This window comes from Homo sapiens, chromosome 11, assembly GCF_000001405.40.
Source record: "Homo sapiens chromosome 11, GRCh38.p14 Primary Assembly".
Taxonomy (NCBI): domain Eukaryota; kingdom Metazoa; phylum Chordata; class Mammalia; order Primates; family Hominidae; genus Homo; species Homo sapiens.
Genome location: NC_000011.10, coordinates 134566801 through 134592039, shown reverse-complemented (window position 1 = coordinate 134592039; position 25239 = coordinate 134566801). Strand labels below are relative to the sequence as shown.

At 46.6% G+C, this 25239-nt stretch overlaps 7 annotated features.

Annotated features, from left to right (window-relative positions):
- Positions 5924–6093: an enhancer, noted in NCBI's record as "experimental_19765 CRE fragment used in MPRA reporter constructs". NCBI's record gives its function as "activates a minimal promoter by MPRAs in K562 erythroleukemia cells, with activity observed for both the introgressed and non-introgressed 11:134455926 variant alleles {active_cell/tissue: K562}" and the evidence as "EXISTENCE:reporter gene assay evidence [ECO:0000049][PMID:34662402]".
- Positions 6120–6764: an enhancer, noted in NCBI's record as "H3K27ac-H3K4me1 hESC enhancer chr11:134455170-134455814 (GRCh37/hg19 assembly coordinates)". NCBI's record gives its function as "activates a minimal SCP1, AML or CMV promoter by ChIP-STARR-seq in primed H9 embryonic stem cells {active_cell/tissue: H9 hESC(primed)}" and the evidence as "EXISTENCE:reporter gene assay evidence [ECO:0000049][PMID:30033119]".
- Positions 6765–7409: an enhancer, noted in NCBI's record as "H3K4me1 hESC enhancer chr11:134454525-134455169 (GRCh37/hg19 assembly coordinates)". NCBI's record gives its function as "activates a minimal SCP1, AML or CMV promoter by ChIP-STARR-seq in primed H9 embryonic stem cells {active_cell/tissue: H9 hESC(primed)}" and the evidence as "EXISTENCE:reporter gene assay evidence [ECO:0000049][PMID:30033119]".
- Positions 7410–8055: an enhancer, noted in NCBI's record as "H3K4me1 hESC enhancer chr11:134453879-134454524 (GRCh37/hg19 assembly coordinates)". NCBI's record gives its function as "activates a minimal SCP1, AML or CMV promoter by ChIP-STARR-seq in primed H9 embryonic stem cells {active_cell/tissue: H9 hESC(primed)}" and the evidence as "EXISTENCE:reporter gene assay evidence [ECO:0000049][PMID:30033119]".
- Positions 15579–16079: an enhancer, noted in NCBI's record as "H3K4me1 hESC enhancer chr11:134445855-134446355 (GRCh37/hg19 assembly coordinates)". NCBI's record gives its function as "activates a minimal SCP1, AML or CMV promoter by ChIP-STARR-seq in naive H9 embryonic stem cells {active_cell/tissue: H9 hESC(naive)}" and the evidence as "EXISTENCE:reporter gene assay evidence [ECO:0000049][PMID:30033119]".
- Positions 16080–16580: an enhancer, noted in NCBI's record as "H3K4me1 hESC enhancer chr11:134445354-134445854 (GRCh37/hg19 assembly coordinates)". NCBI's record gives its function as "activates a minimal SCP1, AML or CMV promoter by ChIP-STARR-seq in naive H9 embryonic stem cells {active_cell/tissue: H9 hESC(naive)}" and the evidence as "EXISTENCE:reporter gene assay evidence [ECO:0000049][PMID:30033119]".
- Positions 18732–19342: an enhancer, noted in NCBI's record as "H3K4me1 hESC enhancer chr11:134442592-134443202 (GRCh37/hg19 assembly coordinates)". NCBI's record gives its function as "activates a minimal SCP1, AML or CMV promoter by ChIP-STARR-seq in naive H9 embryonic stem cells {active_cell/tissue: H9 hESC(naive)}" and the evidence as "EXISTENCE:reporter gene assay evidence [ECO:0000049][PMID:30033119]".

The window sequence follows — 25239 nt, the reverse complement described above, 5'->3', positions numbered from 1 at the left end:
GCAAGGCAATGGGATTTTAGATAGGACCCCTAAAGCACAAGCAACCAAAAAAAGAAAGATAAATTAGACTTCATCAAAATTAAAATTTTTTGTGTTTCAAAGGACTCTATCAAGAAAACAAAAAGAAAAATCATAAAATAAGAAAAGTATTTGAAACCCATATACCTGGTAAGGGACTTGCATTCAGACTATATAAAGGATGTTTATAAAAATAATTTTTAAGAGAATATCAATAATAAAAAGACAAAAAATTTTAAAATTGGCAAATTATTTGAAAAGACATTTCTCCAAAGAAGATAAATAAATAGTCAATAGCACATGAAAAGATGTTTGACATCATTAGTTATTGGGGAAATGCAAATCAAAATCACCTAATTCCCACTAGCTATAGTGAAAAAGACAGGCAATTTAAGTGTTGAAAAGGAGAAATTAGAAAAATGGAAACCCTCACACATTGCTGATGGGAATGTAAAATGATGCAGTGCTGTGGAAAATGGTTTGGCAGTGCGTCAAAGTGCTTAACATACAGTAACCGTATAATCTAGCAATTTTACTCCTAGGAATATGAGAAATGAAAATGTACTCCTACCCAAAAAAGTGTACTTGATAGCCAAGAAGTGGAAATAATACAAGTGTCCATCAATCGATAGATGGATTAACAAAATGTGATCTAGCCATATACTGAAGTGGTATCAGATATAAATGAAGTACTGACATGTGCTGAGAAATGGATGAATCCTGAAAACATTCTGGTAGGTGAAATAAGCCAGTCACAAAAAAAGAACACATACTGCATGATCCTACTTATAGGAAACATTCAGGATAGCCAAATCTATAGACCTAAAAACTAGATTAGTAGCTGCAAGAGGCTGGCAGAGAAAGAATGGGAAGTGAATGTTAATGAGTAAGGGGTTTATTTTTGGGGTGATGAAAATATTCCAGAATTAGTGGTGGAAAGTTGCACAACTCTGTAATACACTGAAGGTACTGAATTGTACATGTTAAATGTGTAAATTTTATGGTAGCAAATTATATCTTCATAACACTGTTAAAAATTGTATCTGAAAATGTAAAGTCCTAATGTAGCCCCTAAAACCTTGAAAAGTAAAAACAAAAATGAAGACCTTTTATTATGTGATTCCTCGGCTCATAATAAACATATACTAATCAATAAAATATGCAGTTGGTCAATGGAACAGCCCAGACTGACATATACCTAGACTGTCAATTGATTTTTACAAAAGTGCCAGGGCAATTCAATGGGCATATATAGTAATTTCTACAAATGATGCTATAAATCTGGATGCTATATGCAAAAACAAACAAACCTTTACCTTTATCTCACGTCATATGCAAAAAGAAGTTTAAAAATGGTTCATAGACCTGACCGTAGGAACTAAATGTAAAAAACTTCTAAGAAATAGAAAATAGAGAGAACATTTTAATGTTTGGTTAGGCAAAGAGTTCTCAAATATGACATAAAAATATAAACTATAAATAAAACTTTCTATAAAGTGTACTTTATCAAATTAAAATTTTTGTTCCTTAAAAGACACTGTTAGAAAAAAAAAAAAACAGCAAGACACAGACTAGGAAAAATATTTGCAAAATGTATATTTGATGTCTGTCCATTTAAAACATTCTTACAACTCAGTAATAAGAACACAAATAATATAATAGAATTAATAAAATAAAATGGGCAAACATATTTATCAATAAAGATATGACAAAGATACTTGATGACAAAAAAAATGACAAAGATACTCAAACTCATTAGTTACTAGTAGAATGTAAATTAAAACCATGAGAAACCCGTTACACATTCATTAGAATGGCTACAATTTAAAAGACTGACTATATCAAACTTTGGAGGAGAGGTGAAGCAACTGAAACTTTCATATATTACTGGGGGGAATGCAAAAATGGTACAGCACTTTGAAAACTATTTGGCAGTTTTCTATAATGTTAAACTTACACTTACCATATGACCCAGCAATCCCACTTCTATGTATTTATCCAAGAGAAATTAAAATGTATATCTGCACAAACACTTCTACTGGAAGGTTCATAGCAGCTTTATTCATTATAGCTCAAAATTGTAAAAAGCAAAACAAACAAATCATTGCACATCTATACAATGAAATACTACTCAGTGAAGAAAAAGAATGAACTAATGCATGCAAAAGCATGGATGAATCCCAAAAGCATTATGGTGCATGAAAGAAGAAACACAAAAGACTATACTGTATGACTACATGTACATGAATTCTAGAAAAAAAAATTAGTGACAGAAATGGATCAGTGGTTGCCAAGAACCAGGGACTGCGGGAGGGAACTGCTGAAATGGGACATTAGAGAAATCTTCTCTATTTTGATTGTGGTAATAGGTCCACTACCATATATATTTGTCAAAATTTATCCACTGACACACTTAACATTGGTAACTTTTTTTTTTTTTTTTGAGAGACTGGATCTTACTCTGTCGCTCAGGCTGAAGTGCAGTGGTGTGATCATGGCTCACTGCAACCTCAACCTCCTGGGCTCAAGTGATTCTCTCATTTCAGCGTCCTGAGTAGCTGGGACAATAGGCATGCAACTTCATGCCCAGCTAATTTTTAATTTTTTTGTAGACCTGGGGTCTCACTATGTTGACAAGTCTAGTCTTGACTTCTGGCCTCAAGTGATGCTCCCACCTCGACCTCCCCAGGTGTTGGGATGACAGGTGTGAGCCCCACACCCAGGCTGGTAACTCATATTAAGTGCAAGTTACACCTTGATAAAGCTGGTTAACAGTAGCAGCAACATCTAACTGTGGAAGTAATGGGCAAGCAGTTTCCTGGAAAGGGCGTGTGCCATGTACTGGGGAAGAGCAAAGCAACGTCGCTCTCTATTGACAGAGATCTGAGTGGAGGAAGGTAGGTTTAAATGTCACAGAAATGACTGCAGTTAGATTTTAAGAACACACTCCACCATTCTCTTTCTGACATGGAAACTGGAATTGTAGGATTTGGCACAAGCTCCTTTCTAAACATAGATGTAAAACACTTCATCTGCTTTGAGGAATTGGGCAGACCTTGATGGAATGTCGTCTTGCTTAGAGCACCAACCTTAACTGGTGAGCAATGGTCTCTCAGGCTTCCCAGATGCAGCACTCGGCAGGGAATCCAGCACAGGTTCACATCGCAGGTGCAGCACATGGCAGGGAATCCAGCACAGGTTCACATCGCAGGTGCAGCACTCGGCAGGGAATCCAGCACAGGTTCACATCGCAGGTGCAGCACTCGGCAGGGAATCCAGCACAGGTTCACATCGCAGGTGCAGCACGTGGCATGGAATCCAGCACAGGTTCACATCGCAGGTGCAGCACGTGGCAGGGAATCCAGCACAGGTTCACATCGCAGGTGCAGCTCTCGGCAGGGAATCCAGCACAGGTTCACATCGCAGGTGCAGCACTCGGCAGGGAATCCAGCACAGGTTCACATCGCAGGTGCAGCACTCGGCAGGGAATCCAGCAGAGGTTCACATCGCAGGTGCAGCACGTGGCAGGGAATCCAGCACAGGTTCACATCGCAGGTGCAGCTCTCAGCAGGGAATCCAGCACAGGTTCACATCGCAGGTGCAGCTCTCGGCACGGAATCCAGCACAGGTTCACATCACAGGTGCAGCTCTCAGCAGGGAATCCAGCACAGGTTCACATCGCAGATGCAGCACTCGGCAGGGAATCCAGCACAGGTTCACATCGCAGGTGCAGCACTCGGCAGGGAATCCAGCACAGGTTCACATCGCAGATGCAGCACATGGCAGGGAATCCAGGCTGTGGCCCCTATGCTGACCCCAGTCCGCAGCCAGGTCAACTGGCCACTCAAACCCCATTTGTGGGTGTCAGGGGCTGGATTCAGCCACCAGATTTAGACACTAAATTATCCTTTATTTTAAATCATGGTTCTATTTCCAACCCTGAGATAAATCAAGGTAGAAACACTATGGATTCCAGAGATATTGAAATGTTTTAAATACTTTAAGCCAGCTGCAGAAAACGTGATCTACAAGGCAAAATTCTTGAGTCCCACTTCTGGTTTCAAACCTCTAGCTTCTCTGAGGTCTTCTCAAGGTCTGCTCAGTTCCCCAAGTCAGAGGAAGTGTGTTGCATCTTTGTTTAGAAAGGAGCTTGTATTAAATCCTACAATTCCAGTTTCAATGTCAGAGGTTTCTGGCATCAAGGACCCTAAATCATCATTATAGATGCTAAACCACAGTCTGGAGCAGCAGGACAGGTAACATGCAGGCCGCCTGAAGATTAAGTGGGCTTATTTTGTTTTGTTTCTGGAGGAAACGAAACAACCCATCTATTTTCACTTCTCTTATAAAGAGTATTTTCATTTGTCTTGTAAAATGGTAGGGAAAAGCCGTCACCTTCACAGCCTCTGTGGGTGTGTGCGCACATGCAAAGTGACAGGCAGGTGGTGCTCCCAGCAGGTGTGAGGCCAGGATCAGCAGCATCCCCTGTAACCTCACAAAGTGCCTGTCTCTCAACGCCAGGCCAGTGTCTGTCCAGTTCTGTCATTCTTTGGGAGGCAGGTGCACCGGTGGCAGCCTTCACCTTTTCCCTACCACTCGTAACATGTGGAAAACCACTACTGCTCTTTGCAGCTCCTGGATAATAAGGAACCATTTTGTGAGTTGAAGGACAAGTGAAATAAAGAGAAGAGGCGCCGAGAGAGGTGGGAAGTGCTTCCTCACCTCAGGGGTGCATTTGAAAGCTGCCAGCTCTCAATTAACAGATCCACAGTTCAATTCCCAAGCCAGGTTTGTCTCTGTTCAGGTCAAGCAGAATTATTAGAAGTGTTAAGAAAAGTTGTTTTAAAGAGTCTCCAGCAAGAGGAATAGCTCCTTCCAAGGAAGCACCAGCCCTGATGGGTCAGGAGGCACCTGAGACATGCTGCTCCATTTTCAAAGCAGTGGGTGTTTTAAGGGGCCCCTTGAGTGTCCAGGCAGATATGCTTAATTAGTGAGGATTCTTTCTCCAGAGAATGAAGACTGTCTCCTGCCCCCTCTGGTGTCTGTGTGTTCCATGAGCCGCAGGACCCCCACACTATGGCACTGCACCCTCTGACCTGCTCCTTCCTCCTGTGCAGCCCTCACCAACCCACTTTCACGAGATTCTTCTCCTACCGGTCACCAGTCCTCTGCCTTCTCCCCGAGCCTCCACTCCCTCTCTTGTAATTGTAACAGGTCCATTGCCCGATGATGCACCAAGACAAGGGTTGCTGCAGAGACAGAGGTTGAATTATACGGCCCCACATTGAGGACAAAAGAGGAAACCTCCAATCCATCTCCAAGAGGAGTTTGGGACTAGGGTTCTTAAGGGTTTGGAAGTGGGCTGAAGTGTGGAGATCATTGATTGGTCAAAAAGTGCAGGGTGGGGTAGTGGGATGGGGAGATGAAGAAGCTGTATTCTCAGGCTGGTTCCGTCCTTCTGTGGGGGTCTTCAAACTGGCTGGCATTGGCTGTCTCACTGGCATTCAGGATCTGTCTGATCAATTCTTAAACAAAAGCCGTGCCACCCTAATGTCAGAGAGCATGTCTACAGGAGCGACTGGGATATGCATGGGCAGTATCTACTGATTTTTGCCTACAAAGAAGTGGGTCAAAGTGCAGGCTGATTAGTGTGTAATTACAGCTGTATTTCCACCCAGAATTCCTGTTAACTCTGTGAGAACAGCTCCACTGTCTGCACAGGATGAGGGGCTGGGAACTGGGTGCTGACACCTGGGGCTGGCCGTGGGGCCACTGCAGCAGGATGTGAGAGAGGTTAGGGGTCAGGGAGCCCCATTTTGAGGCCCATTTTGCCTGGGCCTTAGTTTTCTTAACATGCATTGAGCCAGCTTCTGCCGGCACCTGAGCCTCCTCGCTGGAGAAAAGCAATGAGGGTTCTCTGTCCCTGGGTGGGAGGCCCTGGCCAATCACCCAGATGAGATGTCCAGTGGGCCTGGAGCCCAGGGGCTTGAGCTGACGAGATGGAGATGGTGCAGCATCTCAGAGGCAGTGTTCTGCCTGGATCGGGGTGCTTTCTGGGGTGGGAGTGCGTGGGCACACACCCCAGATGCCCTGGTTGCTAGCTGTGCAACCCCAGCCTGGACACATGGCTTCCCTGCTGCAGTGTCCAGCAGAACAGAGGTCACAAGCGTGTGTGGCCTGCGGGCTGGTGGGAGGATAGAGTGCATGGATGCCAGGCACGGAACTGCTGTGCCTGAGCCCTCGCTATCATGCTCCCCTCCTTTCCAACCTCTCGGGCCCCTACCTGCCTTGGGTCCCAAGGGGCATTGCTCTATGTGTGGCAAGGGCATGTGGCAGAGTGTCTGGGCACACGAAGGATCTCCAAACATAACAAAGTGTGGATGCCCCTCCCTCACCTGAGTAGGAATTACTCCCTGCTTACTGGCCTGGTTTCCTTTCTTCTCCAGAAATAACTGAGGGATCCTTCCTGTTTTTCCTGTAACAGGAATAAAACCAAACACTTGCGTTTTGGGCTACAGGTTATCCTACACAATCTATACAAAGCTCTCAGACACATGACCTTCCTTATGAGACAACTAGGGAGCAAACTGAAGCATAAGTTAAGAACCATGGAGTCAGCTTTGTCAAGGTCACACAGATAAAACATGCCAAGGTCTCCAGGAAGGCAGAGAAACACAGTTCCATGGGCTTCCCCAGGCCAGACCACAAGCGGAGCTATGGCCAGGCCTTGTGACCAAGTCAACAGCCACCACTGCTGGGGTAATGCTGAGGTCGGAATGCAGAAGTTGGGGGCTGGGCAGAAATAGCTCCCGCAGGGTGTGGGCCACCAGCTATAGAGGAACGTTTTGTTTAGTAAACAATGAAAGGTAAACAAAAATATCCAAGAAAGAAAGAAAAATTGACAGCAATAGTGAAGGAATTCTGGAGGCTCAGATGAGAGGATTGCTTTACTGAATGGTTGAACTCAGCCAGGGACAAAGAACCATTGTTCACGGGACATTGCCAAGGTCCTGGTAAGAAACCAAGTAGGAAATGGAGAAGGAAGGACTCTCGGCCCAGGGACAGTGTCACCTCCCATCATGCTGGATGGCTGTGGGTGCAGCCGTGCCGGGGAGGAGGGGGAGCCCTTTCATCCTCAGCCCTGCCTGCTGGTTCAGCCTCACAGAGCATCAGGAATCCCCTAAGAAAGCTGTACCACGTGAGCTGCAGAGCGGCGAGAGGGCCGGCAGGTGCAGAGGCCTGGCCCTGATGTGCCTCGGCGCTGTGACCCAGGGTTAAAATTGCTCTACAGCCAAACTTCAGACTTTCCAAAAACCACATTTCAAAGCAGTGGCCATCAAGATCGAACCGCAAATCATCTGTTGCTCTGGTTCTTAATTATTTCAGGGAACTGAAGACACGAATAAAGGTCAACTAATGTCCTAGAAAGAGAGAGAGAGATTGCTTGCTCAATCAGCAAATTAATTCTTCCTCAATTCATAAACAGATAACAGGAATGAGTGTGTGTCTCCCGAGCCCTCACAGAAGGCCTGCCCCTGGCTGCCCCTGGCAGCTCCCTGGCCAGGAGCTGGAGCTGCTGGCTTCTCTCCCATGTGTGGGGAGGCAGCAGGGGGGTGGGGTTGAGGCAGGAGCAGCACTTATTTCAGACTCAAACACCACACACAGGGATTGTCGATGAAAACTGACACATGAAATAGGGCATCGGTGGGATCTGAGGTGTCAAGAGGCCTTCGAAGAGGGCGGCAGCTTCAGAGGGTGTCGCCCAACACACCCCCTGTGATGTCGAGTGACCACATGCAATTCCAGTGTTGACTGCAGAGGCTCGTCACCAGCCTGCCTCACGTTGTCATCTTTCCACCTGCTGGGCTGCAGGTCACGGGAAATCCCCATAATGGGGACACAATCTATGGGCACAATCACTATTTCAGATTCCAACTAGACGCTCGGATGCAGGCCAGTGCTCGGGTTCATGCAGCCACTGAGTGGTTGCATCGGGGGCTGCACGCAGGCTTTCTGCCCTGCTGCCCTCAGAGACTGCAGCCCTCTCCCTGCATGTTTGCTGAAGCCACTGCCAGCTCAGAATGTAGACATGGCCACGTCCAAGAGTGAGAAGAGCAGTGTTTTCTTCCAGCTGTCTTATTCAGAAGAAAACCTTTTCCAAAAGTCCCATCTGACTTTCTTGCAGCAACCTTTGGCTCAGGATGGGGCATCCTCCCATGACCTAGCCAGAAAAGCAGCTGAAAAAGTGAAGTCAGATGTTTTCAGCACATTGTGGGTGACGGAGAGACAACTTTAAGAAAGCAGGTAAGTGACAACAGATTCAGCCTCCTCTGTGCCTGGGCACCTCTGTTCCCTCTGCCCTTGCTGGCTGTCCACCCTGACATTTTCTATTCTTAGAAAACCCTACTGTATCTAGAGAGCTCACCACTTCCCCCTTGAACTTCCTGCAGGCTACCACATAGTCACTTGATTACATCTAGCTCCGTACAACATATTTCTCCAGCTTCCAGGTCCGTTCTTTGAACGTGAATGCCTTCATTTCAGAGATGTCATCTCTACCTCTGTGTGCTCCAACCTCACCTTCTCATGTTCCCATCTCGCCCCCACACAAAGCCCAGTCTATTCCACTCACAGGCTCTGCTCAGTAACTCTTTTTTTTTTTTTTTTTTTTTTTTTGAGATGGAGTCTCATTCTGTCACCCAGGTTGGAGTGCAGTTGTGCGATCTTTGCTCACTGCAACCTCCACCTCGCAGGTTCAAGCAATTCTCATGCCTCGCCCTCCCTAGTAGCTGGGATTACAGGTGCCAGCCACCACATCTGGCTAATTTTTGTATTTTTAACAGAGACGGGGTTTCACCATGTCGGCCAGGCTGGTCTTAAACTCCTGACCTCAGGTGATCCACCCCACCTTAGCCTCCCAAAGTGCTGGGATTACAGGCATGAGCCACCATGCCTGGCCTCTGCTCAGTCACTCTTGATGAATGAATGAGCAAGTGAACAATCAAATGGGTTCAAAGATAACCTACACAGTGCTCATACCCTTTAGGACCTTTGGCCTGCCCACGAAGGAAACAGATAACATGACCCTCATTAAGTCAACAGGGCTGTGAGTGCTCACTGGCTTGGATGCTGTGTCTGCTCAGGGAAGAAGGAAATGAGGACTGTTGTCCCTCAGTCACATGGGGCTGTTTTCAGGGTGTCCAGACCTCAGGTGTGACCCTCATGTTAGTTTATCTAGAAACTGTGGTTCTTAAAGTCCCTCATGAGACTGTAACAGTGGATCCGTGCCATTATACCTTCCACCAAACTGAAAGAATGCGCAGCACCAAGAGTGTGCTCTGATGTCAGCCATGGGCCTTGGGTGATGATGATGTCAGTGAAGACTCCTCACTTGTAAGAAATGTTCCACTGTGGTGAGGATGTTGCTGCTGGGGGAGGCTGTGCATGTACTGGGGCAGAGGGTATCCGGAAACTCTCTGTACCTTCCACTCAGTATTTCTGTGAACCTAAAACTGCTCGAAAAGTAAAGTCTATTAAGATAAATTAATTAATTTTAAAAATGTAAAATGTACCCTTGGCAGGGGGGAGGGCAGGAGGAACCCAGTGTGTGTGTCTGGTTCCCGTTGCTGCTTTCGCAGCAAGTCACATGGTGTAGTGGCTTACTACTGCAAACTCCCTGTCTGCAGTCCAGCAGATCAGGAGTCCAGCACAGCATGGGTCTCAGGTGCGTGCACACCACAGGTCTCTGCATCTCTTTCTGGAGATGCTAAGGGAGAGCCCACTCTGCTTGCCTTCCCCAGCTTCTAGAGGCCACCCTCCATCCTTAGACCCTGGCCCCTTCCTCCATCCTCAAAGCCAGCAAGGTCAGGGGGTCCTTCTCATGTTGTATCTCTGACCCTTCTATAGTGAGTGCTTGCAACTGTATGCTGACTTCGCATCCATGTTTATATGGTAAGTTTAGGCCAGGCACGGTGGCTTATACCTGTAATCCCAGCACTTTGGGAGGCCGAGGTGGGCAGATCACCTGAGGTCTCGAGTTTGAGACAAGCCTGGCCAACACGGCAAAATAAAAAATTTAAAAATAGCCAGGTGTGGTGGTACGTGCCTGTAGTCCCAGCTACTCATGAGGCTGAGGCAGGAGAATCACTTGGACCTGGGAGGTGGAGGTTGCAGTGAGCCGAGATGGGCCACTACACTCCAGTCTGGGTAACAGAGTGAGACTCCATCTCAAAAAAAAAAAAAATAGTAAGTTTAACTTTCTCATACAAGAAGCAGGGCTCTGTCACCCTTGACACAGTTCCCAATACTATACCCCACCCAATGGCTTCAGCCAGGGGCCAGAGATAAAATGTAGAGGCATCTCTCCTGCCTGCCATGCTGGACTCTTGCTTTCCCACACTTCTTTAAAAGGACCATTCAGACATTTGCCATTGAACTTAAAGGGACCACTTCTCATTCACAGTATGACCTCCTGGAACTTGTGCCTGCTTGCTCTGAACCCACCGATTAAAGCTCCCACAGGAAACCTGTTTGGATAATGCACTGTTTGGATAACGCACTGTTTGGATAACACACGGGGCCCAATAAAGGCGTTGGCCAAGAGGTCTCTTTTCTCTCTCCGCCTGCGCCCCTGATTTCCATGTACCATGTACTCCCTCAGATCTGTAAGTGCCAAAAACTCCTAAATCTTCACATTAGGGTTGTGTCATTGACACCATGCCCACGGTCCAACCTCTGAGGACTGGCGAGGTCCCAGAAGCCCCATGGACATGGACTCCCTGCTGGTGCTCTTTCGTCCAAGCCTCTCAGCAACTGGGACAGTAGTTACCAGCTAAATTGATAGAGTGTCATTCAAAACACCTTCCCCATTGCCTCTGAATACAGCTGGTAAGGATTCTCTTATTTTAAGGACTTATGTGATTAGATTGGGTTTACCCAGATAATCCATGGTAATCCCCATCCGTAACCATAATCCCATCTGCAAAGCCCCTTTTGCTACCTAAGGTGCATATTCATAGGTTCTTGGGATTAGTGGGGTTCCGTAGGCTGTCATTCTGCCCATCGTGTGTGAAAGATCCACCCCGGGAACTTGGTCTGTGGAGTCTCAGGCCGCACCTGCAGAGATTCAGACCCAGTGTGTCTGGGGCCAGGCCCAGGGACTGGCAGGTGTAACAAGTACCCAACCAGCTAGCGCAGGTGGCCTGAGGAGCTCACCCTTGAGAAGCACCAACTTGGATGCACACCAGGCTGCCACCCCCATGGCTCGCCCCGATGCCCCCAGGAGCCCCTGGAGACAGAAAAGAGGAATACTCATGCCCACTCTGAGGCTGGAGGCGGGCACTCAGGCTGAGAAGAGGGCGCCTTATTGACCAGGACAGAGACAGGGCTGGGGCTCCAGTCTTCAGGCACACAGTTGGGTGCGGCTGTGTGGCAGGGGGAGGGGGTGGTGGCCCCTCCCACAGCAACCCGCAGGCCTCAGCAGTAACTGAGCCCCCTCTGAACCTGCCACCCTGGACCTGCATGAGGCACCTTCCACAGGGCTCACCCCTCAGAGCTCCCCACCCACAGACCTCTGCTCCAGGAGAGAGATTCCATCTGCAGGGAGGGTGCTGGCACCGAGCCCTGCCAGAGCCACTTCCCTTGCAGGCGCGGCTGCGTGTGTGTCACCTGTGCTGTGTTCTGATCTAATTGTTTGTAATTACAAAGTAGCGGGATGTAAAATACTAATTGAAAATTGTTGGTGCTTCCCTTCTGGAGTCTGGAGAGAATGTGTGCCTGTCTGGTTACTAGGAAAAGGATTGTACTTTCTAGACCATTGATCTGCCGTCATTAAGGCTCAGATACAGCGCCCTATGAGTCAGCACGGGAACACTCTTTGCTGGATTCCTCTACCTGGGACTGCAGTCTCCTCCAGCTCTGCGAATGACAGAGCCGCCAGATTTGATGCAGTGTGCTGCCACCACTGCCCTATCAAGGGTTATTTATCTCATTTACTTTCAGAATGGGTGAGTTTAGTGAGCCTCACAATGGTCTCTGCATAGCACGGAATATGAAGAGACAGCCAGGCTGGGGTGCGTGGCATTGAGCTGCCACTGTGGGGAAGGGTGGCGGGAGGGGCAGCCAGCCCCATTGTCCCTCTTCCCCTCTCCACATACCCCACCAGTTCACTGCCCCAAGTGGCTGTGTTCTTACTGTACAGGGATTTCCCAGGACAAGGGGAGCCCAAAATGACAAATAGGCAGCCTCCACCCTGTCAGGACCTTGGGATGCGATGGATACAGATTCCTGAGGAAGGCATTGCCTGTCAAACTCAATAAAGGTCCGCACCTCCCCAAACCCTCACCTCTGGCCCTACTCCTGGGAGCACATGCCCCGCACAGCTCCACTGCATCTGTGCAGGGTGCCTGCAGGCCTGGCCTCCCAGATCAGCACCAGCAGGTGGCTGTAGTGTCCTAGGGGCAGTCACACCGTCACACAGAGAGACACCCACAGAGGCCCCTGCAAAGGGTGACACAGGAGACACACACAATCCTCCAGGCTCCCTTCCCCTTTCTGCCGTCTTCATGCAGATGAGCTCCGTGAACACGCTCTGAATTTTACATGAATACAAAATGAATTTATGTAGCATTCTGCCACTGGGATTTGGGGCTTTATCTGTTACAGCACCTCGCATTACCTGAACAAGTACATACCTCCAGCCAGAAAGCAAGCTCCATGGGGCAAACGCAGTTCCCTCTCCTACCACACCCTCCCTACCTGCAGCACCGGGAACAGCAGGTTTCAGCAAATAGTTTTTGGATGAATGAATGAATGAGTGAACAAATGAATGAATGAATCTGTGTGCCTAGAGACCTTCCCATGCCCTGACTTTGCCTACTCACCATCTCTTCAGCACAGGCGCCCCCAGGGGTGCAGAAAGGCTGGACGCATCCTCTGGGAGCGGTGGCCGCACTGCCTGGCTTTACCTGTCAGTCTCTCCCCAGTGCCCGTGAGCGCGGCACGGCAGGGACCCTGGGATCTCCTTTACCGTGTGTTCCCAGCTCTCGCCAGGATGCTTGTGGTACAGCAGGCGCTCAACAAACATGTGTTCTGTGACTGAATGCATAAACCAATATTTGTGAGCACTTTGAGTCCACAAAGCACTTTCACACACAAGGCCCTGCGCACTCCAGCTCCGTTTGACTCCTGGCTTCAGAGTGAGGGTTATGGTAACAAGGACAGCATTATCTGGATCTGCTGGTTCTTGAGTTATACATAGCAAGTACTAAGAGAGCAGTTTTTTTTTAAGATGTGAAAAAAATATCATTTTAGTTAATCTTTTTAGTTCCTAAGTTCAGATACTAAGGTTGTTGCCCAGGAGAGTGAAGGGCTAGTTGCAGTATAATCCATTTGATCTTCACAGTAATCTCTGAGGCATTAACATCCTCATGATAAATCCCAATTTCGGTTCAGAAAGGTTGAGTGATGGCGGACTGTACCGCATGGGAATGGCAAGGCCAGGCCTGCAGTGCAGCCACAGAGCTCTCTCTCCCTTTATGCTCCCTTCAGAAACCCAAGGGGCTACCTAAGAATAGCAACAGCGTGGCCTGGATTTTCTGAGAAGCCCCAATTTTAAATAGGTTTTCCACTCTGCCTGTAAGTGCACTAGAACATACACAGTTCTCTCTTGGAGAACACGGTCCCCATTCTTCCAATGCACAGCTCAAGCAGACATGGCCAGCCTTGCAACTGCTCACTCAGACTCTGCCTGCTGTGAATTGAGCCCTGAAACCATCACACTGCCGTGCCCCTCCCCAGACCCCCCATCCCCTGCCTGCCAAGCTTATTCTCTTACTCCCATCCCCACCATTGCCCTCCCACCCCCTAGGAAGCAAGCGGCCAGCTAGGCAAGTCCTTCCTATTTCTTTGGCCTCTGAGGCTTCAGGGATCCCAGTGAGTGGAGTAAGTTCAGGGAGGGCTGCAAACCAGAGGGACAGGGCCCCCAAATCACAGCCAGGGAGTCGCCTCACAAAACACCACTTGAAATAATTGGCTTCCGTGCCTGCGGAAATGTAGGTCAGTGCCTCAATGCGACAGCAAAAAAGCATGACCATCCAAGAGAAAGACAGAAGGGGAGTAATTACAAAATATAGATTAAACAACCATCAGATAACAAACCGAATAATAAGCATCAACACACGAGATGAAGGAAAACAGTTAAACCAACGGATTGTAGCTGGTTCCCGCGCTTGTCAAGAGGCCCCCTTCCCCTTTACGGCAAATGCAACTCCAGTCCCAGAACGAGCTTTCTCTTCTCTCAGCTCCATACTTGGAGCAGTCCCAGTAGGGGCTGTTCTTTGTCCCAGAAGAAATCAGAGCCTGGTCCTGCTGCGGGTTTTTGAGGCTTAGAAGGAGTTTTTGGATCCTGGAATAAGGGGACCTTTGGGGATGCATGGGGAGTGCAGAGAGCTCCACGCTTTGCACTGAAGTTAGCCCTGGAGAGCGTTCTACATGAGATCCTCCAAAGACTGTGTCAAAAACCCTGGTTTAAATGGAGTTGTCCTAATACCTTTACAGCTTCGCCCCTTCTGTTGGCAATTTTACCACCAGAAGGGGAGGTATCTGGAAGCTCGGGTAATAGAGACATCTCTTGACCAGGTGCCAGGACACCTTGGCCTGCACTTGGTTCTGTTAGTCGGGTATTAACCTACTGTGTGACCTTAGGCAAATTAATTAACCTCTCTGAGCCTCTGTGTCTTTGTCGGTAAGATGAGAGTCTCAGGAGATGATCTATAATGCATTGCTCTTCCTAACATGGAGCCGGGCAGGCTTCCTGTCTGCTGAGTGAGTGGGGCCTGTCTTGATTAAAGCCAGCAGAAGAAAGGGCGCCTTCCCCAGGCCCACCCAGCAGGTTCAGGGACTCACCGAGCCATGTGGGGCCAGTGCATCACCAGAGCTTTCCCCAGGTCCAGTGCGGGGCTCCTGCTCTCCTCAGGGCATTCCTCCACTTGAAGCAGAAGTTGCCGGCCCTTGTGGCCATGTCCCTCAGCTTCCTCCAGGGAACAGGAGGCCCAGGGTGTTGGAGTGCCCCCACTCCCCTGCCCTGAGCTCCCAAGCTCCTGCAGGCCTGGTGCAGTGAGGAGGCTGCCTGGCCCAAAGATGCCCCGAGACAAATCCCAGCCTCCACGATTGCTAGCCTGCCTGGGGCTTTGAGCACACCACCTCCCATTCAAACCCTCGGTTTCCTTACAGGGAGAGCAGGCTTCATAGCAACAGTTCACAGTGTTAAGAAACACGGACTACACCCAACTCATGTGGGTGTTCAAAAGTGATGAGTACTTTTAACACCACAGTTCTCACAGCTAATGCATGGCAGGCCCGAAACCAGGCTCCAGGAGTCCTATGAGACCCCTATTCTTCCGACGGCAACGTGTTGCTTCTGGAAAGAAACAGCACCTGCTCCTCCTGCCCCTTAGACACTGCTAAGCAGAGGAACTGAGCAGAAGTCCATGCTGGCTAAAGGGCAGTGACTTAGACCTTGAGAACAGCAGAAGGAGGGCACTAAACAGGGGCAGAATCCCTGAGCTCCAATCTCAGCCCCACAGTGGGGCAGCTCTGCTGGGTAACGTGGCAGGACTCTCCGCCCTTCTGCCCCTCCTATCCTGTTCTCATCATCAAGCAAGGATCGGGGAGCTTCGGCATCCATAACTTCACAGATACATTGCGAGGACCTGTCAGGAAAGGCTTTAAGAATATACAAACACTGGTCCAATGAAAACATTTGTAGTAGTAAGGGGCTTTTCAAACTTTGTGTTAGGATGACGATCACAAAAGATGATGGATGTGAAGGCATTTCGTGGATGTTAAAATACCGGGCAAATGCCAGGACCCTTCTTATTAGGAAGGCTGGACGGGCTGCTCCAGAGCTGAGAGAGGACCTGCTTAAGGTCTCATGGCTTGCCGATGGACACAGGACACCGAGCCTTCCTTCCCCTGGGCACTCTCCCCCAGTCTGCATGAGCCGACGGACACAGGACACCGAGCCTTCCTTCCCCTGGGCACTCTCCCCCAGTCTGCATGATGGGGTATCATGCTGAGGGAGGATAGCCATGGGCAGGCTCCCAGCTGGGTTTGTTTGCCTGACGAAAACCCTTCTGTTACAATCCCACTTATCGAAGCAGCTTCCATTTGTCAGAAAGAGCAACTTTGCATAATAAATTACACAGGTGTAATCAAATATTTCCATAGATTTAATTAGGTTTAATTTGTTGTCCTCAAGACGGTTCCCCTCCTTCCCAGCAGAGGTGGCCGCCCCTCCTGCTGCTCCCCTTTTGTCTCTTGTGCCGGAAACAGCCCCTAAAGCAGCCTCTAAGACAAGCCCATGGCAGGGCCTGCCCTGAGACCACCACGGCCTGATTAGACATAGTTGGGTATTTGGCTGGAGGGTGGGCGTGATGACCCTGGATGCTGTAAGGGCTTCACACTCTTAGGCTCTATGTCAGTATGGGCAGAGTGTTTACCCAGTTCTTTCTAATAGCTGCAAAGTGTGCTATTCTATGGATATAACACAATGATTTATCTCTATTAAGGGAACGGATCTGTGTGGAAACTCAGCCACTTACTAACTTGGACAAGTTGCTTTATTCTTAAGTCTCCATTAACTCTTCTGTAAAAAGGAGAAGATAACACGTGCTTTGCAGACCTCACAGGACAGCTGTCAGGCCTGTTATAGCTCATGTAAGCTGCCAAAACAAAATACAATAAACTGGGTAGAACAACAGAAATTTTATTTCTCACAGTTCTGGAGGCTGGGGAGTCCGAGATCAAGGCACTGGTATATTCAGTGTCTGGTGCAGGCCCACGTCCCGATTCACAAGCAGCCGTCTTCTCGCTGTGTCCTCAGGTGGTAGAAAGGGCACGAGGGCTCTCTCAGGCCTCTTTCATAAGGACACTCATCCCACCCATGAGGGCTGTGCCTCATGCCTCATCATTCCGAAAGGCCCCACCTTCTAAGACCACCACTTTGGGCATTAGTTTTAACATAGGAATTTGGGGGGACACCAACGTTCAGCCTACAGCAATGGCCATTTCCCCAGATTGAGTGATTGCCACGTGGCAGGAAAGCTCCATACCACATAAGAGCTCCACACTCATGACTTCATTTCATCCTAGAGCAACGCTACAAAACAGGAACGATGATCCCCACCTGCAGGTGAAGAAACCAAGACTTAGAGAGCTGACTTCGCATTTCCAAGGCTGCATTGCTGGTAGGTGACATGGCTGGGCCAGTAACAGGCCCAAGAGCACCACGGTGTGTGAAAGCCATTGAAAGTGGAAAAGCTCCACCAGACACACCTCTGCGGGGTAAGGGACAGCACAGAGGGTGCCCCAGCGGGGGCCAGGGCCACACTGAGCCACGTGCGGATGCCTTATTTTGCTCTGAATGGAGCGGAAGCCCAGTTTGCTGGAAGATCAGCAGGAAGGGGCTAGACCCACCCTCTAGCAACCAGGCCCACCTGCTTGGCCCCAGCTCCCCAGCCAGTGCTGTGCCTTCAGCAGTGACTTCACTACTGTCTTGACCTTGCTGCTGTTACTACAGTTTTGTTTCCTGGCTGTACCCCCAATGCACAGCTCACTGCATAACACAAGGTAGATATCTGATACATGCATGTTGTATGGAATTAAATTTCCTCTAATTTAAAGAAGCCAGTCAATGGGTGTGAATAGGGAGAGGGTTTCATGGGTGGGAAGCAGACAAAGCAGGAGAAAGAGGCAGTGAGGACCCCTCCCACCACGGGCTCCTCGTATTTCTGGACTGTGAACTCTAAGGAGGTGGCCAGCGGGGGGCCATGGCGAGAGGCAGGCAGAGTGTCCCATTATGGGCACGTGACAAGTCACAAGCTAGGATGCAGAAAAGCAGGTTTCTCCCACTCCCAGAGAGCGGCATCAGCCATCCTCATGCTCCTCACAGCCTGTGCACTTGTCACACTGGGAGGGCCCCCTCCTTGGCCTTCCTGCAGCATGCACCATGTTGGGGCTGGTGTGGGCAGGAACCTGGGACCAAATCCAGCCTACCACCCGCGTCTGTAAAGAAAGTGTTATGGGAACACAAGGCCACAATGAACAGAGCCAAGCCCACGCTTTTAGCGACTGTCTATGGAAGGTTTGCTACAATGCCTGCATTTAGTAGTTGTGAGAGATACCATATGGCCCACAAAGTCTGAAATATTTGCTCTCTGACCCTTTCCAGGAGAAGTCTGCTGATGCTGGCCTCGAGAGAAGGTCGGGGACTCCATTCTCCACCACAAGCAGCTCCATCCCCTTCCTGCCTCCTCTGCCCCCATCCCCAGTCTTAGAACAAGGGCAGCTCCCAGCAGGGTCATATTCAAGATATTTAAGAACTGGTGTGACGCGTGCCACCACTCACAGCAGAAACCTCAGACCTGGAGCAGAAAGGGTGCTGAGTCCGCAGGTTGGCCCTTTGACTCCAGTAAACTCAGGGGCCATCAGGAGGCCAAGGAAGGCCAGGGCAGCGTGGACTACAGGGAGATGGGCACTGGGGAGACTCAGGGCAGTCTGCCAAACAGCACAGCCACAGTGGGGCCTGTCAACACCCCACCAGGCATACACGAGAACTGAGAAGAGGAATGGGGGCAAGAAGCCTGTCTGCAAGCCCAGCCGCCAGGTCTCTTTCCTCCCTTGACCACAGTGAATAGAGCAGGAGAGGGTGAGGCTTGGGTTCCAGCCCTTTCCGGGTCAGGTTCCCAGCTGAGCTGGGCATAGAGCTGCCTGGCACATCCCAGACCTGCTCAGCCTCCCTGGCAGCTGCCTGGCCTGGGCCGCCTGAGGCAGCCTCATCTCCCCATGCTGGGGAGGACGGATAAGAGCCGGCCAGAGGGAAAACTGCCCAGGGTGCCTCTCAGCACGTTCTGGCCATGGTCTGCAGAATAATCTTTTTTAAAAATAAATCCAGCTGGAGTCTCAGCTGAAAACAGCTTCCTCAAAATGGCAGGATAAATTGGACACTTTATTTCAGTGGTAAAACAGCTAGGCTGCTGAACGGCTGGGGAAAGGGCTCATTTCAGCAACTTCATTTCAGGCTGGAGTCTCAGGCTCATCCGGGGTGGGCAGGGGCCTCTCCCACCGTGCCTCTGCGTGGAGGGGTGAGAGGGTGCGGGCAGGACCCCGACCAATCATGCTGGACGCCCCGGGTGGTCAGATCAGTCCTGGAACGATCATCACTTCTCAGATTTTTCGCAGTGGTCCGAGTTCCCCAAAGCACAGCCTCTGGTCAGTCCTGAGGGAGCGCAAGCTGTGTCTGCTTGCTTGAAGATCGTTTCATCTGAAGGCCGGACCTCTGGATGCTGTTTTGATCCAAGAGAAAGACTCTCAAATCAAATAAATGAATCCTGAAATTGAATACCGATTTAGAATAAAAATGAGTGAGGCAATATTTCTCCTGGAGTGAGTCTTCCGTGGGTGTCCGCCTGAGGAAGAGAAGTGTCTGCGCCTTAAAGGTGAGCAGATCTTTACTAGTCCACGGCTGCAGAACTCACAGGGCCCTTCTCCAAACTCTGACTTGTTTAGCCCTCACTACAACCCCGAGAGAGACACGATTCTCTTTTCTCCATTTAACAGTTAGAAAAACAGAGGATGCAAAGACTTACATACCTTTGCTCAAACTACAGAGCTGCAAATGGAACCAAGTCCTCTCATTCAAAATGCCACGTGGACTGTGCATGTTCCCCCAACCAGAAAGGAACGGTTCTCTCCGGTTAGTCTAAGTGTCTTTTGAAACTGAACCAATAGACAGACAGCATGGCACTGTGGATGAAGCATGAACTGGAGAAACTGGAATCTCTGTTATCCATCTGCCTCTTGCCCTGGAAGGTTCTGGAAGGATTCTACAGACTTGAGTTGACATATGTTCATTCTGCACCCATTCCTATCCAATTTCCTTAACGCTGAATCCTGTAGTGCACACCAGACGGTCATTTAAGGGAAGGACCTCATACCCTGACCTGCTCAGCCAGCTGTCCCTTCATCTGCACTATCAGCTAAAGGGAACACACTCCACCTTGCAGGGGCACAGCAGAATTCACTTCTGGAATTAAAAGAAAAATGTTAACTTCTTCTGAGTAGAATGTAGTAGGTCATAACAGAAAAATACTTCTTCTGCAGTAATTAAAATAAGCAGAATAAATTTTTTAAATCATATTTTTAAAGGCACTAAAATTCCAGACCCAAAAGAGCCCTGCCCAGGTGAGCTGAGGCCTGCAAGCTATTCTTTCCCAATGGGCACATTTGCTGATTCTGGGTTTAGATCAGTGGCAGTGCCTGGCCCAGCCCTGCTGGAGGAAACTCTAACTAGTGAAGCTTGCAGCCATTGAATAGGGCAGGAGCAGGGAGCTGCATGCTGGAGCTACCTCAGCACACAACCGGTTTCTGCCGTGGGACCTTTGCTGATTCAGGCAAGGAGACTGTGGATGCAGCTCAGAGCTAGGCCTGATGCTTCCAAAAGTCAGCTGAAATCACCTGAGGAGTCTTGTGTTCAGGAAACAAAGGTGGGCCAGAGGTCAGGGGATCTGCCTCAAAGCACTGCAAGTCTTCCCATCAAGATATTCACTAGGTTTTGAGCCTCCTTGGACAATGAGGCTGGAGTCTTGGCTCTGGGACCCTGAAGGGCAACAAGGAACATCCCACAGTCTTTCAGGGCTGAGGCGAACAAGGGCAAAACAGAGAGAGGCTGAGTTTGTGTTTTTCCTTTCTTTTGCATTCCGCGTATTTGTATTTAAAATTCATGTTGTCTACATGCTATGCCGGTGGGCATTACCTTTCAATCCAGGCTTCCATCTCTGCTTTCTGATTAGAACCTCTAGTCCATTTCCTCGGAATCTAATTGTATGGGCTGGTGTGAATCTGCCTTCTGACCAATTGTTTCCATTTTTTCCTTTGGCTTTTGCTGTTCTGTTGCTCCTTTTCTGTCTTATTTTAGGTCAATGGAATATTTTTCAGCATTCCATTGTGTCTTCTCTATTAGCTTTTAGGCTAGACCTCTTTGTTATTATATTAGTAGTTACTCTAGGGATTACAATATTCATCCTTATCCCAGTATAATTAGCATTAACATTGTATCACTTCACACCTGGCCCTCCACTCTTCCTACTTCATATTTCACATATGAAAGAACTTTGACAAGGTTTAATTTGATTAACCTGGCTCCGTCCTCTGTGCTGTTATTGTTATACCTTTTACTTCCACATGTTAAGCCCCCTACCTTGGAGTCATATTATTTTTGCCTTGAACACATCAACTGTCTATGAACAAAATTAATTGAAAAAAAGATGGTTTTTATATTGACTCATATATTTAATGTAGTAAACATTTAATGTATTAAACTCCTCATTTCTTCCTGTAAATACCAATTTTTATCTGGCATAGTTTCCTTTCGGCCCCAAACACATTCTTTAGTATTTATTTCAATGCAGTTCTGCTGGAAACAAACTCTTACAACTTCTGATTATCAGAAAATGTCTTTATTTTTGCAGCCATATTCGAGCAGTATGTATTGGATATAAAATTCTGGGTTAGCATCATTTTTGTTTTTTACTTTCAGTTCTTTAAAGGTTGCTCTATTATCTTTTGGCCTTTGTTGTTTCTTATGAGAAGTCGCGTCATGCATATTGCTGGCCCTCTGTAGGTTTATTTGCTTATGCTGTTTCCAAGATTTGATCTTCATCTTTGTTTTTTTATGTAATCTGCATAGACACGACGTTTTCCTTGTATTTATCCTATTAAGTTATTGCTAAGCTTCTTAGATCTCTACGTAATGTTTTTCTTCAAATTCAGGAAATATTTGGCTATTATTTTTTCAAATAATTTTTACTACCACATTCTTATTATCTACTCCTTCTGGGACTCAAGGATATTGTGCTGTGTTGTCTCATTGGTTAGTGACACCTTTTTCTTCATTTTTTCCATTTCTTCTGTGTTCTTCAGTTTGCATGATTGTATTGAATTATTTCAAATTTTTCCTTTTATTTCCAGTGTGCCATTTAACCCATCCAATGAATTTTTCATTTAAATTGTTAAGGATTTTAGTCCTGAATTTCTTTTTTATTCTTATTTATAAATTCCATTCCTTTGTTGGCAGTTCATATCTGTTCATTCATTAAAATTAATTTTATAAAGTTCTCTAACATATTTATATTAGCTGCTTTGAATTTTTTGTTTTCTAATCCCAACACCTGGGCCATCCTATTTCTTTGCTTTGTTAATAATATTTTTATTGTACGTTGGATGTTGTGATCACACATTCTAGAAATTCTGAATTCTGTTATAATCATCAGAAGACCGTGGATATTTTTTCTAGAACCTAACTCAGTTACAAGTGGACTGCCTTTAAATGCAGTCTTGTTTTCATATTTTGTTATGGTGTAGGTCTGTGAAAATCCAAGCCCTTCTAGCTGGCAAGATTCAATCTCCAAATCCTAAATTATCTTTAAAGTGCTTCATTAATTTTAGACTTTGTTAAGGTGACTGTAGAGGAGTCTTGACTCTAGAATAAGGTCCCTCCTCCAGCGCTGTGAGCTCCTTGGTGTTCCAGTCAGATGCCCAGGGCGTCCAAGTTCTCCTCGTCTGGCTAGGCTAACGTTCTGATGCCACCGTTAACCTCTAGCACCTTTATTCTCTTCCCAAATCCATAGCAGCTGCTCCACGGCAGACTCCCCATAGTCCCTTCCTAATCAAAAGCATCCTAGCCATTGGAAAAGAGCTCAGAGACATCTCCACACAGATCTCTGTGACCTCCCTATGCAGCTGTCCCTGCTCTCATCCTCTGCCATCTGAGCCTTAGTAAAACAAGCAACCTAGCCCAAATTCAGCTCATGTCACTAGCAAAGTGAGATAAGCCCATCGCCCTTCTGCCCAACAGAAGAGAGTGAAAGTGCAGGAATAATCTATCACTTGAGTCTTTTATAGACACTATGCAGTGCACAGCAAAACAAAAAAATCACTAGGCTGGTGAAGAAGATATATGTGTGTGTGTGTGTGTGTGTGTGTGTGTGTGTGTATATATATATATATATATTCTAGACCATATTCTAAAGGCCATAGTAACCCTAACAAAACCTAATTAAGTATGTATGTGTGTACATAATTATCACATATGTACTTAATTAAGTCTATATGTTTAGTTAGCACATATATACACTTAAGTCTATATATACTTAATTAGCAAGTGTGTATGTGTGTGTGTATATATATGATATGTGGTATATATCTGCTATATATACCATAACAAACTATACTTGCTAATTAAGAGAAAAAGCAGACCAATGATTTAGGTATTATAATTAGCAGCAAAAACTTTTAAAACTGATTTAATAGTGTTATGAATAGAAGAAAAAATGATAACATAAATGAAAAGATGGAAATTTTGACATGTATAATTGGAACCTATAAGGAAGTGAAAATGCAATATCTGAGTATTAATCAATTATTAAGAGCATATTGGATTTAGATAAACACAGAATTAGTGAACTGTAAAAGAAGTCAGAGGAAAGCACACGGAGGAAAAAGAACTAAGAATACATCCAGAGATCAAGAGACATGCAGGACACACTTTGTAGGTCTAAAAATGAGCAAAATGAGCATAACTGAAATACTGAAACAATAGGAGTGATGACATGTTCCAGAAGCAATATTCAAAGAGATGAAGATTGAAAACTGATCGAGGACAGCAACACAGAGATGAAAGAAATCAGTAAACCTAAAGCAGAATAATTACCCCAAAATCCACTGGTAGGCATATTATAGTAAAACTGATTTTTAAAATACTTCAAAACAACCAGGGGTTAACAATATTCCTTCAAAGAAAGAAAGAGTAACAGGAGCTTACTTCTCGGGAAACGAAAGATAATGAAATGCTATTCTTAAAGGGCCAAAAGATTTAAACAAAAGTGCAAGTCTTATAAAAATGATTAAATTTTTTTAAAATAAGACTTGGCTAAACAAAATGTGAGCAAATTGATGGCCGGCAAATCTTAACTACAATAAATACTAAAGGAAATTAACCAGTCTGAAGAAAATATTGTAGATGGAAACAGAATTGCATGATTAATGAAGATAATCAGAAAGGGAACATATGTGAGTAGATAAAAACGAATATCCGCCGGGCACGGTGGCTCACGCCTGTAGTCCCAGCACTTTGGAAGGCCGAGGTGGGCAGATCACCTGAGGTCAGGAGTTCAAGACCAGCCTGACCAACATGGAGATACCCCATCTCTACTAAAAATACAAAACTAGCTGGGCGTAGTGGTGCATGCCTGTAATCCCAGCTACTCGGGAGGCTGAGGCAGGAGAATCACTTGAACACGGGAGGCGAAGGTTGTGGTGAGCCGAGATTGCGCCATTACATTCCAGCTTGGGCAACAAGAGCGAAGCTCCCTCTCAAAAACAAAAACAAAAAGAATATCAACCATGGATTACAGCAATAATAGTAACGGCTTGTACAGTTTCAACTATACGCAGACTTAAAATGGGCAGTAACTCTAAAGCAAAAGGCAGCAGTGGTACAAATATAGCTGAAAGGTTCTAAAGGTCTAGCAACATCACAGAAGTGGTAAAATACAATTTGTATTAGAAAGGAAGACATCAAAGATGTATATTGTACTAGCTAGAGTAACTATGAACAAAAAACAAAAGAAAGATACATGACAAGCTGATTTAAACAATGGAATAATAAAAAATATGAGATGAATTCACAGGAACTCAAAAAATGAGAGGAAAATAAACATAAAGCTGTTTGTACAAATAGAAAATTAATAGTAACAAAGTGACTGTAAACCCACCCAATTCAGTAAAAACATTGGCTGTAAATGGAATCCTGGTGACACTCTGTTTCTTGATCTAGGGGCTCATTACCTAAGTGTGTTCAGAATGTGGGAATGTAAACTTAAGATTTCAACACTATTCTATTTGTATTCATTTATATTTTATGTATCTTTTAAAAGGCACTTTAAAGCATTATCAAAATGTTTACCTTCTGGAAAATTATATTACCAAAATGCCAAAGGTAATGGAAAATGAGCTTGTAAAAAATATTTTCGTCTTTTATTTATGTTTATTTTCTAATATTTTAACAAAAAACCTATGGATTTTGCATAGTTACCAAAAATTAAAATGGATATCTTTTTTTACTTTATTAATACTAACTATAGATAAAGTATACATTAGAAGTCC